Genomic DNA, 14,547 nt, shown 5'->3' with positions numbered 1-14,547 from the left:
ACACTCCGTGTTGGGCCGAGCCTCAGGGAGCCCTCAGTGCCTTTCTGTCCAGTGGCGGCCAGGTCGACGGGGCCTCGCTTCCTCTTCCGAAGCCACTCACTGAGATTCTTTTGTTGCCACTTGTGCCAGCTGGGGTTTGGGGTTAGTCAGTGGGACCTGGAGGTCAGCAGGACGGGGGATCCGTCAGTAGGACTGGGGCAGGTCTCTGGGGTGCTGGGTATGTGAGGGTGCTGCTCCTGGCCACAGGAAGAGGTTGTTTCACATGCGGCGAGACAGCAGGTGTGAGAGCCTGGGGCTGGCAGTGGCTCTTTCTGGTGGCTGCAGGTGACGTGGGTTCTAGGTTGAGCAGACTGTACACCTGTGCCAGGCGGTGCCCACCACTTCCCAGGTGTCTGTTTTTCTGCTTGTTTTTTGTTTTGTTTTGATTTTTCGAGATGGAGTTTCACTCCTTTGCCCAGGCTGGAGTCAAGTGGTGCGATCTCAGCTCATGACAACCTCCATCCCCTGGGTTCAAGGGATTCTTCTGCCTCAGCCTCCCTAGTAGCTGGGATTATAGGTACCCGCCACCACGCCCGGCTAATTTTTGTATTTTTAGTAAAGACGGAGTTTCACCTTGTTGGCCAGGCTGGTCTCAAACTCCTGACGTCAGGTGATCCACACTCCACAGCCTCCCAAAGTGCAAGGATTACGGGTGTGAACCATCGCACCTGGCCATCTGTGAGAGAGGTCGGGAGTGGCGTCAGCCTGTCCAATGGCTGAGGAGACCCAGCTTCAAGGCTGCATGGGGCGTGGCCCCGGGCTCCTCTGTGCGGTGGCATTAGCTCGGGGCTGGCCATGATCCTTGGCCCATGGTCACTGTTGGAGCTGCCCAGCCTGGCTGTGTCTGAGTTGGAGCCAGCACAGAGGCGGGGAGCCCGCGGGGGCCGAGGGAGGTGGTGCTTCTGGTGTCGGGGCACTGACCTGATGGGAGGCATTTCTGCAGTGGGCAAAGCTCCCTGTTGTGCCCCCATCTCTGTTCTGTTTCCGGACTGGTCTGTTTCTGCCGCTTCCTGGCGAGGATGATGACGACAGAGACGGCATGAAGGCTGGGCTCTCTGTGGCTATGTGGCTGTACCAGGGGGCCCACACGTCACTGTGCCAGGGGCTGAGCCACCCCGTGTCCCTGAAGGTGGCCGAGTGGCCTTCCGGGCAGGTGCCAGCAGTGACCCCTGTGTCCCCCACAGGCGTCCTGCATCCTGCAGCTGGTCAAGCACATCCAGAAGCTTCAGGCCAAGGACGTGCCTGTGGCAGAGGAGGTCAGCGCTCTCTTTGCTGGGGAGCTGAACCCAGTGGCCCCCAAGGCCCAGAAGAAGGTTCCAGTCCCCGAAGGGTAAGGATACGGGGGTGGGGGCATTGCAACCATGGCCCTGACATGGTCCCTTGATGCCTGGTGGCACAGCGGGGGCTCCTGCACCCCTGAACAGCCAGGAGGGTGTGGGGCTGATTGGAGGCCTCAGGCGGGTATATCCCTCACACGGACTCACCAGGTCTCTCACTGGTTCTGGGATCTGGCTTCTGCCTGGGGATGCTCCCTGCGAAGTGGGCCTGCTCCCACCCTTGCCATAAAGCTCTGAGGCAGCCTGAGCCTGCCGTGGGGGCCCCACTGTGACCCTGCCGCAGTCTTCCTGGGTCCCTGCGTCCTCTTAAGGGGCAGTGACACCTGCCTCGCTGGCCCTGTGTGGGTGGCAGGCCCCACTGTTTGGGATATCACATGGCCAGGCACGTGGTGAGCCTGCTCAGGGCGGACGCCTGCAGGCGCGTGCTCGGTCACACACTGCCTTGTGTGGCCCTCCTGTCCGGTGCAGCCTGGACCTGGACGCCTGGATCAATGAGCCACTCTCGGACAGCGAGTCAGAGGACGAGAGGCCCAGGGCCGTCTTCCACGAGGAGGAGCAGCGGCGTCCCAAGCACCGGCCGTCGGAGGCGGACGAGGAAGAGCTGGCTCGGGTGAGCTGCTGGCTGCCCCTGGCGAGCCCTCGTCTCCTCCCTCCTGTCCCAGGGAGTCTTTGAGGCAGGTCAGCGGCCTCTGTGGGTCCTGGCCCTGACCCTGGCAGTGGAGGCATGGGCGTCCCTGCCTCCCAGAGCGTTAGCGATTCCTTTTCCCCCAATACGTGCTCTTCCCAATTGCGGGCCTTGGTTTCCCTGTTAGTGAAAGCTCAGTAGTGAAAATAGCCAGAGATCCAGCCTTCCCCAGCTGGGTGGCTGGTGGTGGACGTCCACAGAGGGGTATCCTGCCCGCTTCTCTCGGGCTCATGCCAAGCTGTGTCCCACAGCGCCGAGAGGCCCGGAAGCAGGAGCAGGCCAACAACCCCTTCTACATCAAGAGCTCGCCATCGCCACAGAAGGTGAGGCCCGTCCCCGGGTGCCTGTCCCTCAGCACCCTCTACCCTCACCACCCGAGCCCCGCGGCATCCATCTGAGTTTCGGGTTCCCTCAGGAAGATCCTGGGAATGGAGCTGGGGCCACACGGTGACTGTGCGGAGCCTTTGAGGGGCAGGCGCCTCCCTGTGGGCCCCATTCATTCGAGCCTCCAGCCGGGGGGCCCTGTTCCCTGCGCCTGGCAGCCCAGCTGCTGTCCAGCCCTGACCCCACGGTCGTGGGCAACCTGCTGCCTCACTCTGGGCTTGAGGCCGCATTACTTTTCTCATTTGAGGAGAAAACAGAATATTCACGTAAAAAAAGTGAACGAGGATTTGCTTCTCTCTGCTCATAGGCCTGTGGGGTCACTCGTGTGACAAGCTTTCCAGTCCTCACTGTCTTAAAGAGTCGGGTCCTCGGGATGCGCTCGCTCACGGCGCTCCTCGCGGCCCAGGGCTCTGGCAGGACCCCAGCTCCTTAGGATGTTGGGGCTGCGTCACGCTCCCTGCATCCCCGAGGCTTGTCTTGCACGTGTGTCACCCCTCGGTGCACCGGTAACGCCTGGGTGTTGCCTTTGCAGCGGTACCAGGACACCCCGGGCGTGGAGCACATTCCCGTGGTGCAGATTGACCTCTCCGTCCCCTTGAAGGTTCCAGGCAAGTGTCTCCGGTGTGTCGGCGCCGCATTTGTCACATGGGCTGTGGGGTGCTCCCGCCGCCCTCCCCGTGAGCCCCTGGGGTGCAGTGCTGAGTGGCTGCCCGCTGCCGGCCCGCAGGGCTGCCTATGTCAGATCAGTATGTGAAGCTGGAGGAGGAGCGGCGGCACCGGCAGAAGCTGGAGAAGGACAAGAGGAGGAAAAAGAGGAAGGAGAAGGAGAAGAAGGGCAAGCGCCGCCACAGCTCGCTGCCCACGGAGAGCGACGAGGACATCGCCCCTGCCCAGCAGGTGGACATCGTCACAGAGGAGATGCCTGAGGTCAGCCTCGCTGGAGGTCCCGGTCCTAGGATGTCTATCTTTCCGCATGTGTGTGTCCTGGGGCCATGCACAGTGGCCTCTCCCCATGGTCTTCGTTGGTGGCTGGGATGAGGCCCCACCCCGGAGAGCATAGGAGGAGAGGCCTCTCTGTCCTCGAGCACGCGTCCCGACGCACCGCCCCAGGGCCAGCAGCTTCAGAGGCAGATGCAGGTTGGCTGCGTCCTGGGGCCCAGCCGCCCTTAGTGCCTAGACGCTGAGCGGAGCCTCTGGTGGAGCCACGTCACTGCCCACCTGTGCGTGTGGCCCGCATGGGCAGTCCCACTGCGTCCCAGATAGATGGCGTTCCACCAGGCCACAAGGGCGGGTTCCAGTGATGGGGTTCCTCTCTTCCTGTCAGAATGCTCTGCCCAGCGACGAGGATGACAAAGACCCCAACGACCCCTACAGGGCTCTGGATATTGACCTGGATAAGTGAGTCCATATGGGTTCAGGGTGAGGGTGGAGGCCACATGTGGTTGCTTCCCTTCCTCTCGTCCTCCCTTCCGGGTGGGGCCGGGCTCTGCAGGGTGGGCAGGCTGGGGTGGGGTGCGGGCGGGCCTTCCCCAGACCACGTCCTCACTGCACTGCTCTTGGCTGGCCCTCCCAACCAAGACTCTTAAGTGTGGACTCTGAAGTCTCCAGGCCTGGGGTGCTCGGGAGGTCTCCATGCCTTGACAGGGCAGGGTGTGGCCACCACAGACCCTCCCATGAGAGCCTCCAGCAGGCTGTGTTGAGTAGATCTATGTTGGGCCATGGCTGGGGCCAGGGGCTGGAGGAGCAGGTCCCGCACTGCCACATGCTTGGACACGGCATGTACTGAGTGGTCCTGGGGGGTGGCCAGTGGTGCTGATGTGTGGCCCGGTCATTCCTCCTCCAGGCCCTTAGCCGACAGCGAGAAACTGCCTATTCAGAAACACAGAAACACCGAGACCTCAAAATCCCCTGAGAAGGACGTTCCCATGGTAGAAAAGAAGAGCAAGAAACCCAAGAAGAAAGAGAAAAAACACAAAGAGAAAGAGAGAGACAAGGAGAAGAAGAAGGAGAAGGAGAAGAAGGTAAGGCTAGTGCCCAGGGCGGCGGCCTTCTCCATTCCCCTCCCTTGCCGTGAACTCCCAGGAGACAGCGGTGAGCTCAGGGGAAATGGCTGTGAGTCTGAGTCAGGCAGCGAGTGCCAGCCGCCTCGCCCTGTGCCCCGGCGGAGTGAGGACATGTGGCTTCTGAGGGGAGCTGACTGTGCACTTGTGTCAGGGGAGACTGAGGAGGACCCAACGATCCCATGGGTGAGCCGTGTCCTCACCTGTGTTGGGGGGACATGGTCAGAGCTCGGCGTGGTCCAGATGCCACCCTCACGTGCAGCTCCAGAACCGTTTCTGCAGTGTCTGTGTGCAGATTTTCACATAGAGAAAGAAATGGGTTTTTCAAAGGAGCATGTGTTTGCAGGGCCTGGGAGCCTGTCCACACCCACGTCAGGTGGCCCAGGCAGACATAAGACATATGGGCCGCCACGGGCCTTCTGACCACTGGAATGGCACACACCCACCCACAGCTTTGTCCCCGGCCCTCTTCTGGCAGCGAAAGCCAGAGCCAGCAGGGCTGGCTGAGGACATCGCCTTCAGCTCCTGGATTCCCAGGCTCTGCAAGGCCCAGCTAGTCCAGGACCCTGGGGGCAGCGAGGGCAGCTGGGGCCTCCTTGGCCCTGCTGTCCCCGTCCCCTCTTCCCAGGACCATTGCACTGCGTTTGCTGACAGCCTGTCTTGTGGTTTCAGGCTGAGGACCTGGACTTCTGGCTGTCTACCACCCCACCGCCTGCCCCCGCCCCCGCCCCCGCCCCCGTTCCATCCACGGTAAGAGACTGGCAGCTGGCCAGTGCCAGCCTCGGTGTCTGCAGAGGTCATACCTGGCACTCAGGGAAGAGCCCTGGGTCTCCTGAGGCCCTGTGCTCTCGCGGTCAGCACCGTGCACCTGTGGGACCCAGCACTGAGTGGAGCCGGGGTCATGCTCCCGGGTCCCAGTGGGCCAAGCAGGGGCCAGGGGAAGGGGAGGACAGCCAGGGCCTCTGTGCTCACAGGCTCCCTGTCACTCGGAGGGCACTGTGGCCTCTCAGGCAGGCGTGAGGGCAAGCTGAGGGTGTGTGGCATGGAGGCTGTCTGGGGTGCAGTGGAGTGGGGCCCCTCATTGCCCAGCATGAGCCCCAAGCCCTGGCTCCCTGCAGGGGGAGCTCAGTGTGAACACTGTCACTACCCCGAAGGACGAGTGTGAGGACGCCAAGACGGAGGCGCAGGGCGAGGAGGACGATGCCGAGGGGCAAGACCAGGACAAGGTGAGGCTGTCACTCCCCCAGGGGCTGTGGAGGGCTGCATGAGCCCCAGCACCCCAACGTGGGGCCGGACACAGCTTCCGCCACCCAGGTCCCAGGGCAGCCCTGCTCTCGCATTTGTGTTGGCGTTCTCACGGGCCTTTTGTTGTGGTTGTGGTCTTGTGTTTTTTTAATAACCTTCTTATTCACACATGGTTCATAAGTCTCATAGAGTTTATTCATTTGAAGTATGTATACAGTGGTTTTCTGTATATTCACAGAGTTGTGCAACCATCATCACCTCTGTCTAGTTCCAGAACTTTCCATGACCCCTAAAGAAGCTCCATTCCCACCAGCCGTTACTTCTCACTCCCTTCCCTGCCCTGGCACCCACGCATCCCCTTCCTGTCTCTGTGGATCAGTGTGTCCTGGACATTTCATAGAAATGGGGTCATACACCGTGTGGTCTTTTGTGTGTGGCGTCTCACTGAGTGTGATGTCCTCAAGGTGCATCCACACTATGGCTTGGGTCAGAGCCTGGTTCCTGTTCGTGGCCGGGTCATGTTCCAGTGCGTGGACAGGTCACCCTCTGCTGACCCCGTTCCTCCGCGGATGGGCCACACTGTGCTGACCCACTCATCTGTTGATAGCCACTTGGGCCGCTTCCCCTTTGTGGTGACACAGTATGCCGCTTTGAACATCTGCGCAGTGCGCGTGGATGTGTGTGTTCCCTCTCGGATGTGCACATGGGCGTGGGGTTGCTGCGTCAAGTGTGGTGTCCTCACTGGTTTGCCCTGCATGGCTCCCTGGTCGGTGGGGACTGTTCCCCGGGCTGCTTTGGCGCTTGCCGCCAACCAGAGACGGCCCCAGCCTCCGCTGGGCCTGGTCTGGCCTGAGCTTGTCCCGGTAGGCCTGAGGCGTGGCTGGTCCTGCCATCCCACCCAGGCACGTGGGACCCTCAGCCTGAGCAGCCCTGCTGTGATCCTGACCTCACACTGTGATGGGGGCGTGCTGGAGCAGCCTGGGCACTGAACCCGACCCTCCTCTTGCTCCAGAAATCTCCCAAGCCTAAGAAGAAGAAGCACAGGAAGGAGAAGGAGGAGCGGACCAAAGGCAAGAAGAAGTCCAAGAAGCAGCCTCCAGGCAGCGAGGAGGCAGCGGGGGAGCCGGTGCAGAATGGCGCGCCAGAGGAGGAGCAGCTCCCGGTGAGGGGTACTTCAGCGCCCCCGCCCCACGCCGGGGTTCCTGGCGGGCTGTGCGCTGCTCCCCACTCCTGCAGCCTCCATGCGGGAGAGAACTGAGCAGATTCGAGAAGAAGCCGAGCCTGGCGGGGGCAGGGGACTGGCCCTGGCCCGCAGCCCCACATTAGGCACCCCCGTGGTGGGCTGTGTGGTCCTGGGAGCCGGGGATCCCTCATCGGCTCCTTTGAAGCCCCTTGCCCCAAGCATTCTTGGAGTCGTGGCATTCGACCTGGGGTATTGGGCCATACTGGAGTCTTCGCTGAGACGGAGCTCGGGGCCCCCAAGGCTGATGCGCCTTTTCTATTTCCAGCCTGAGTCCAGCTACTCCCTCCTCGCTGAAAATTCCTATGTTAAAATGGTGAGTGGCAGCCGCTCCCAGGGGCAGGGTGGGCCAGCCCACACTCTTTGGCATGGGATCGCGCGGAACCCGGGCAGCCCCCACAGCTCCCGGATGTTGGTATACCCAGGGCCTGTGATTCCTGGCAGGGGCGTTGCTTGGGCAGCACCTCTGGCTTGGGGTAAGGTTGGAGACATGCCCTGAGACTTGGACTGGCAGGAGGGTCCCCGCCATGCACTCAAAGAGCAGCCATAGGAGGCGCTTGGCCTGCGGCTAGGGGGCGCCCCTCTCCGTGCCTTCCTGTGCCTGTGGGACCCCTGCTGCCTCTGTGGTCATTAAGAGACAGGTGGCTGTGCCTGTTCCCTGTGGCGGGCCCGCCTGCCCTGCTAACACTGGCCATGCCCTGCAGACCTGTGACATCCGGGGCAGTCTGCAGGAGGACAGCCAGGTCACTGTGGCCATCGTGCTGGAGAACAGGAGCAGCAGCATCCTCAAGGGCATGGAGCTCAGCGTGCTGGACTCACTCAATGCCAGGATGGCCCGGCCGCAGGGCTCCTCCGTCCACGATGGCGTCCCCGTGCCTTTCCAGCTGCCCCCAGGTGAGCCCTGCCCCACTCACGGCCTCTCCTGGGGACTGTGGGAGCGCAGTGGCAGCTGGTGACTGCCCGGATCCGCTGGTTCTTGTTGCTTCCTCCCCATGTCCCCTTTGTCCCCAGGCTGCACCTCAGTACCTCCTGAGTGTCGGGGTCTCGCCACAGCTCTCTGAGAAGCGCAATGGCCTCGGATGGACCTGGCTAGAGTCCCAAGGGTTGTGCTGGGGGCTGGATTCTGGGGCCTTCTTGGGTTCCACGGTTCCAGTGGCCAAGTCTGCCCTCTGAAACAGGGATGGGACCAAGTCCAGGCCAAATTAGGGACACCAGTAGCCTCTTGTTTCTGCTCCTGTCCCCTGGTGCTCCCTTGGGGGCTGAGCTCAGTTTCCTAATCAGCCACAGAGGACTTGGGACTGAGGACAGACCTGGAGGCCCCACCCATGCTGAGCCCCCGCAGCGTCTCAGGCCCCACTCCCTCTCGCCCCCGCCAGGCGTCTCCAACGAAGCCCAGTATGTGTTCACCATCCAGAGCATCGTCATGGCGCAGAAGCTCAAGGGGACCCTGTCCTTCATTGCCAAGGTATGCAGGGCTCCACTTGGCGTTGAAGAGCCGACTCTGCAGGCAGGGGCTCCTCCTGCCCCATCGCAGTGGGTGTCCAGGTGTCCCTAGGGGAAGTGGGCCACCTGCCTGGGGAACCCTGAGCCCTGAGCTGGGCCCGACTCCCCTCTCAACTGCACCACCTTCACTCCACCGCAGAATGACGAGGGTGCGACCCACGAGAAGCTGGACTTCAGGCTGCACTTCAGCTGCAGCTCCTACTTGATCACCACTCCCTGCTACAGGTGGGGCCCAGGCCCACTCCCCTATGTCCCCGAACCCCCTCCGCCTCCCCTCTACCTTGCAGACACCTGTGCCCCGGGGACTGAGGCTTCTGGGCAGGACTTTAGAGACGGATTTGGAGGCGCTGGCTCGTGACTGGTGCAGGTCAGGCTGCCTGGTGTCTGCGCCAGCCGGGGCCGTGTAGTTGAAGCCACAGGCCAGGCAGCGTCACCCATAGAGGTCCAGGCCCCTGGAAGTCCTGAAGGCTGGAGGGGTGAGACCAAGGAGCCAGCAGGGCAGGCTCCTCCTGAAGCCTCTCCTCGGCACGGCTTGGCGTGCGGCACCCCCTCCCCCCTGAGTCCTCACAGGCCGTCCTCTGCGTGCCTGCATCCTAGCCTATCCCCCCAGTCCCTTCCTACAGGACATCCGTCCTTGTCGGAGGAGGGCCCATCCCATGGCTTCAGGCACCTCTGTGACCTCTTTAAAGACAAGTCATTGTCAGTTTCTGGGTGTGACGGCTTCCGCACATGAAAATGAGCCACACCTTCCAGGACCCCCAAGACCTCCCGGCCCAGACACACAGGAGGGTGTCCAAGCGCAGCGTGTGTGGCAGGTTTTGTTGGCCTCTGTGCCAGGAAGCCTGAGGAGCCCGGCCCCACCGCAGTCAGCCTCCCTGTCCCTCCCACAGTGACGCCTTTGCTAAGTTGCTGGAGTCTGGGGACTTGAGCATGAGCTCAATCAAAGTCGATGGCATTCGGATGTCCTTCCAGAATCTTCTGGCGAAGATCTGTTTTCACCACCATTTTTCCGGTAAGGAGAGTGAGGGGCTGATGGATTGCACGGGGCTTTCACGCACGCGGCAGCTGTCCCTTCCTATTGGAGCCGGGCCTGTGGCCCTCCCACCCAAACTCACACCCTTTGGGATCCCGGGTGGCTGGTGGCCCCGAGGCCTGGGAGCTGGTGCGGGGGCTGCATTCCCCACACCCCAGGCCTCTCAGGGCCACACCCTGCTCCTACAGGCCTCCTGAAGCTGTGGCCAAGGGCAGCCCAAGAAGGTGGCCCCTGCTCTGGGGGTGGGGCTGCAGCCATGCAATGTCCGGGAAGCCTAACACTGCCCGCTCTGTTGCAGTTGTGGAGCGAGTGGACTCCTGCGCCTCCATGTACAGCCGCTCCATCCAGGGCCACCATGTCTGCCTCCTGGTGAAAAAGGTGAGCCTCGGGCTGCTGTGCACACCCTGGCTCCTGCCACCTCTCCTGGGGTCATGCCCAGGCCTTCATCCCCAGAGGCGCGCTTTGGGACTTAGAGGGCTCGAGGACAGTGATGGCAGCACTGCTGCCATGAGCCCCTCACCTGTGCCAGCCCCACTCAGCAGCACAGACTCTCCCTCAGCAAGACAGGGCTTCTGCCTCCTGCTGCGCTGCTCACCGCAGGCTGACACATGGCTCCAGGGGCCCCACTCCCACTGCACTCCTGCCCACCACCCCACCCCTGTGCACAAGGCAGCCAAGGCCCTGGGGTCGGACTCTCCACCTCTCACTGCTGCGCTTCTAGAATGACTCCTCGCTCCCTCCGCTCCGGGCCTCCCTCTCCTGAGTACTGCAGGGTGGTTGTCTTCGCAGTGTGTCGACTGCCAAACGCAGTGTGTGAATATTTTGTTGAGGGCTTTTGTGTCTGTATATGAGGAGTTGGGTCTTTAGTTTTCTTTTCTGGTGGCTTCTTTGGTTTTGTCATCCAGTGGCTTCATCAGACGTGCAGTAGAGTGTGTCCTCTCTGTTTTGGGGCAGACTGTGTGATAAGTGGCATTTCTTCCTTAGAAAGAAATGTGTATACAGAATTCACCAGAAAACCATCGGGCCTGGGGAGTTCCTTTTCTGCAGGCTTTTAGCTACATCCTCAGTTTTTTGTTTTAACAGTTGTAGGAATCCCCAAGTTACCGTTCACGTTGGGTGAGTTTGGTAGTTTTGTACTTTTCAAAGAATTAGCGCAAGGAATCATCAGTCACTGAGTTGACGCGTGGCGGTGCGTGCCGTATTCGCGCTGCTCCTTGTGATGATACCGGGTCACTTTCCGTTCTGATGGTCACGGTTTGTGTCTCTTTTTTCCTGGTTCTCCTGGGTAGAACCATTTTATTGCACTTTTCTTTTTTTTTTTTTTTGAGACGGAGTCTCGCTCTGTCGCCCAGGCTGGAGTGCAGTGGTGCAGTCTCAGCTCACTGCAAGCTCCGCCTCCCTGGTTCACGCCATTCTCCTGCCTCAGCCTCCCAAGTAGCTGGGACTACAAGCACCTGCCACCACGCCCGGCTAATTTTTTGTATTTTTAGTAGAGACAGGGTTTCACCGTGTTAGCCAGGATGGTCTCAATCTCCTGACCTCATGATCTGCCCGCCTCGGCCTCCCAAAGTGCTAGGATTACAGGCTTGAGCCACCGCGCCCGGCCTTTATTGCACTTTTCAAACAACCAATTTTTCTTGATGTCCGGTTTGGTTCCAGTGCCCTCTGGGAGCATACTGAGGATTTCCAGTTTGCACGTGTTTCTTTCGCTTCTCTGCCTTCTTCTGGCTCATGTTCACTACTCAGCATTCCGTTCCTAGAGGTCTGTTGTGGTTTTGATACCCTTGCTTTGTTTTTTTTTTTTTGAGATGGAGTCTCACTCTGTCGCCCAGGCTGGACTGCAGTGGCGCGGTCTCGGCTCACTGCAAGCTCCGCCTCCCGGGCTCATGCCATTCTGCCTCAGCCTCCGCAGTAGCTGGGAATACAAGCGCCCGCCACCACATCCGGCTAATTTTTTGTATTTTTAGTAGAGACAGGGTTTCACCATGTTAGCCAGGATGGTCTCAATCTTCTGACCTCATGATCTGTCTGCCTCGGCCTCCCAAAGTGCTGGGATTACAGGTGTGAGCCACTGCGTCCGGCCTGTCATTGCTGTTCTTTTCATTCCTAATGTTCAGTTTTCTCCTGATTCACTGCCTCCCATGAAACACTCACTCCCCGTTGCCTCCCCAGCCCCTGGCACCATGTATTCTACTTTGTGTCTTTGTGAATCTGATGGCTCTAGGGACCTCCTAGGAGTGGAACCACACGGAATGTATCCTTCTGTGTCTGGCTGCTGTTATTACACCTCATGTCCTTAAGGTGCATCCACATCGCAGCCTCTGTCAGGATTCCCTTCCTTTTCACAGCAGAATCATATTTTGTTGTACAGATGGACCATGCTGTGTGTCCACTCATCCATCGCTGCTCCCACCTTCTGGCTGTTGTGAATTGTGCTGCTATCAACATTGTTGTTAAACAAATAACTGTTGGAGTCCCTGCCTTCAGTACTTTTGTTTTTTTTTATTTTTTTGTTTTGGAAACAGAGTCTTGTTCTGTTACCCAGGCTAGAGTACAGTGGAGCCAAGGGCTCACCACAACCTCCGCCTCCCAGGTTCAAGCAGTTCTTCTGCCTCAGCCTCCTGAGTAGCTGGGATTACAGGCACATGCCACCTCGCCCCACTAATTTTTGTATTTTTAGTAGAGATGGGGTTTTGCCAGGTTGGCCAGACTGATGTGGAACTCCTGACCCCGGGTGATCTGCCTGCCTCGGCCTCCCAAAGTGCTGGGATTGCAGGAGTGAGCCCATTTGTTCTGAATATACACCCGGGAGTGTGATTGCTGGGTCCTGTGGTAATGCCACGTTTGAGGTTTTGAGGAGCTGCCAGACTGTCTTCCCCAGTGCTGCACTTTGTTTCCCGCCTGCTGCCGTGCAGGAGGCCCTGTTTCTTCACCTGTCGTCATCGTGCTGACAGCAGCCATTCTTTTTTTTTGAGATGGAGTCTCGCTCTGTCGCCCAGGCTGGAGTGCAGTGGTGCGATCTCAGCTCACTGCAGCTCCTCCCGGGTTCAAGCGATTCTCCTGCCTCAGCCTCCTGAGTAGTTGGGATTACAGGTGCCCACGACCACGCCTGGATAATCTTTTTGTCTCTTTAGTAGAGACGGGGTTTCCAGGGTTTCACCATGTTGGTCAGGCTGGTCTCAAACTCCTGATCCGCCTGCCTCAGACTCCCAAAGTGCTGGTATTAGAAGCACGAGCCCCCGCGCCCGGCTGACGGCAGCCATTCTGCTGGGCCTGAGGCGGCTGGAGCTGATCTGTTGCTGCTTTTTGGGTGCTGCACACTTCCTCCCTGCCGAGACCAGCTTGGTCAGGGAGACCCTAACCCAGTGGCGCTAGAGGAATTAAAGACACTCACACAGAAATACAGAGGTGTGAAGTGGGAAATCAGGGATCTCACAGTCTTCAGAGCTGAGAGCCCCGAACAGAGATTTACCCACATTTATTAACAGCAAGCCAGTCATTAGCATTGTTTCTATAGATATTAAATTAACTAAAAGTATCCCCTACGGGAAACGAATGGATGGGCCGAATTAAAGGAATAGGTTGGGCTAGTTAACTGCAGCAGGAACACGCCCTGAAGACACAGCTCGCTCATGCTATTGTTTGTGGCTTAAGAATGCCTTTAAGTGGTTTTCCACCCTGGGCCAGCCAGGTGTTCCTTGCCCTCATTCCCATCAACCCACAACCTTCCAGCGTGGGCGTTAGGGCCATTATGAACATGTCACAGTGCTGCAGAGATTTTGTTTATGGCCAGTTTTGGGGTCAGTTTATGGCCAGATTTTGGGGGGCCTGCTCCCAACACCTCCCCAGCCTGGGCTGCTGCCCCTCACGCCCCAGAGGCCGTATTCAGATGGGTTCATGGCTGTTGCTCTCTTGCCAAGCTCACCAGTCTGCCTCGTCCTAGCTGTTCTGCCATTGAGCCCACACAGGGAGGGTCTTATTTTTCAGGTCTGAAATTCCCACTGGGCCCTTCTTGTATCTTCCATGTCTTTGCTGATGCCCTGGTGATCTGTTGGAGCATTTTCCTAACAGCTACTTTAAAGCTTAGGCCAGCTGGGCATGGTGGTGTGTGACTGTGGTCCCAGCTACTTGGGAGGCTGAGGCAGGAGGATCGCTTGAGCCCTGGAGGTCAAGATCAGCCTGGGAACATGGCAAGACCCCAGGTCTACAAAAAATTAAAAAAATTAGCCAGTACTAAGAAATTAGTACAGTGAGCCTGTAGTCCCTGCTACTTGGGAGGCTGGGGTGGGAGGATCTCTTGAGCCCAGGAGTTTAAGGCTACGGTGAGCCCTGATTGTGCCACTGTACTCTAGCCTGGGCAACAGAGTGAGACTCCAAAAAAAAAAAAAAAAAAAAAAACTTGTGTCAGAGAGTCCTAGTGTCCGTCCACCTTGGTACGCTGATGGCCTTGGTGTTGGGGTCTGCACGTTGGGGTCTTCGTGTTGGTTTCTGCCAATGGCCTTGGCATTGGTGTCTTGGCGTTGGGGTCTGGGTGTTGGTGTCTTGGCATTGGGGTCTGGGCATTGGTGTCTTGGTGTTGGGGTCTGGGCATTGGTGTCTTGGCGTTGGGGTCTGGGTGTTGGCATCTTGGAGTTGGTGCCTCGGCATTGGGGTCTGGGTGTTGGCGTCTTGGAGTTGGTGCCTTGGCGTTGGGGTCTGGGTGTTGGCGTCTCAGTGTTGCGGTCTCGGCATTGGGGTCTGGGTGTTGGGGTCTGCGTGTTGGTGTCTTGGCGTTGGGGTCTGGGTGTTGGCGTCTTGGAGTTGGTGCCTCGGTGTTGGGGTCTGGGTTTCGGCATCTCGGTGTTGGAGTCTCAGTGTTGGTGTCTCGGTGTTGCGGTCTCAGCGTTGGTGTCTCGGTGTTGGAGTCTGAGTGTTGGTGTCTTGGCGTTGGGGTCTGAGTGTTGGCGTCTTGGAGTTGGTGCCTCGGCGTTGGGGTCTGGGTGTTGGTGTCTTGGTGTTGGTGTCTGCTCACGGCCTTGGTG

General features: G+C 59.3%; 1 protein-coding gene across 7 annotated transcripts in view, besides 1 other annotated feature; it reads left to right on the top strand.

Moving 5' to 3' along the window:
* Window positions 1-14,547, top strand: part of AP3D1 (adaptor related protein complex 3 subunit delta 1) — a 63,629-nt gene that overhangs the window by 46,026 nt on the left and 3,056 nt on the right. For 3 of the 7 annotated variants that reach the window (XM_047439598.1, NM_001374799.1, XM_047439599.1), the window contains 16 exons: window positions 1,224-1,369; window positions 1,845-1,986; window positions 2,313-2,384; window positions 2,978-3,053; window positions 3,173-3,372; window positions 3,770-3,843; window positions 4,289-4,466; window positions 5,178-5,255; window positions 5,660-5,731; window positions 6,763-6,912; window positions 7,259-7,306; window positions 7,695-7,884; window positions 8,367-8,455; window positions 8,633-8,718; window positions 9,384-9,505; window positions 9,825-9,904. In XM_047439598.1, coding sequence (XP_047295554.1) covers window positions 1,224-1,369; window positions 1,845-1,986; window positions 2,313-2,384; window positions 2,978-3,053; window positions 3,173-3,372; window positions 3,770-3,843; window positions 4,289-4,466; window positions 5,178-5,255; window positions 5,660-5,731; window positions 6,763-6,912; window positions 7,259-7,306; window positions 7,695-7,884; window positions 8,367-8,455; window positions 8,633-8,718; window positions 9,384-9,505; window positions 9,825-9,904 — 1,803 coding nt within the window. Of the gene's footprint in view, window positions 1-1,223; window positions 1,370-1,844; window positions 1,987-2,312; window positions 2,385-2,977; window positions 3,054-3,172; window positions 3,373-3,769; window positions 3,844-4,288; window positions 4,467-5,177; window positions 5,256-5,623; window positions 5,732-6,762; window positions 6,913-7,258; window positions 7,307-7,694; window positions 7,885-8,366; window positions 8,456-8,632; window positions 8,719-9,383; window positions 9,506-9,824; window positions 9,905-14,547 lie in introns of all 7 variants that reach the window. The other 4 variants (XM_047439597.1, NM_001261826.3, XM_017027422.2 and 1 more) reach the window with 2 other exon arrangements.
* Window positions 13,910-14,082: a silencer, noted in NCBI's record as "fragment chr19:2104508-2104680 (GRCh37/hg19 assembly coordinates)". NCBI's record gives its function as "represses an EF-1alpha promoter that drives an FKBP-Casp9 reporter gene in an ReSE screen in phorbol 12-myristate 13-acetate-treated (for megakaryocytic differentiation) K562 erythroleukemia cells {active_cell/tissue: K562(+PMA)}" and the evidence as "EXISTENCE:reporter gene assay evidence [ECO:0000049][PMID:32094911]".

Source organism: Homo sapiens, chromosome 19 (genome assembly GCF_000001405.40).
Source record: "Homo sapiens chromosome 19, GRCh38.p14 Primary Assembly".
NCBI lineage: Eukaryota > Metazoa > Chordata > Mammalia > Primates > Hominidae > Homo > Homo sapiens.
Note: the sequence above shows the minus strand (reverse complement) of the source record. Positions and strands in the feature narration are given on the sequence as shown.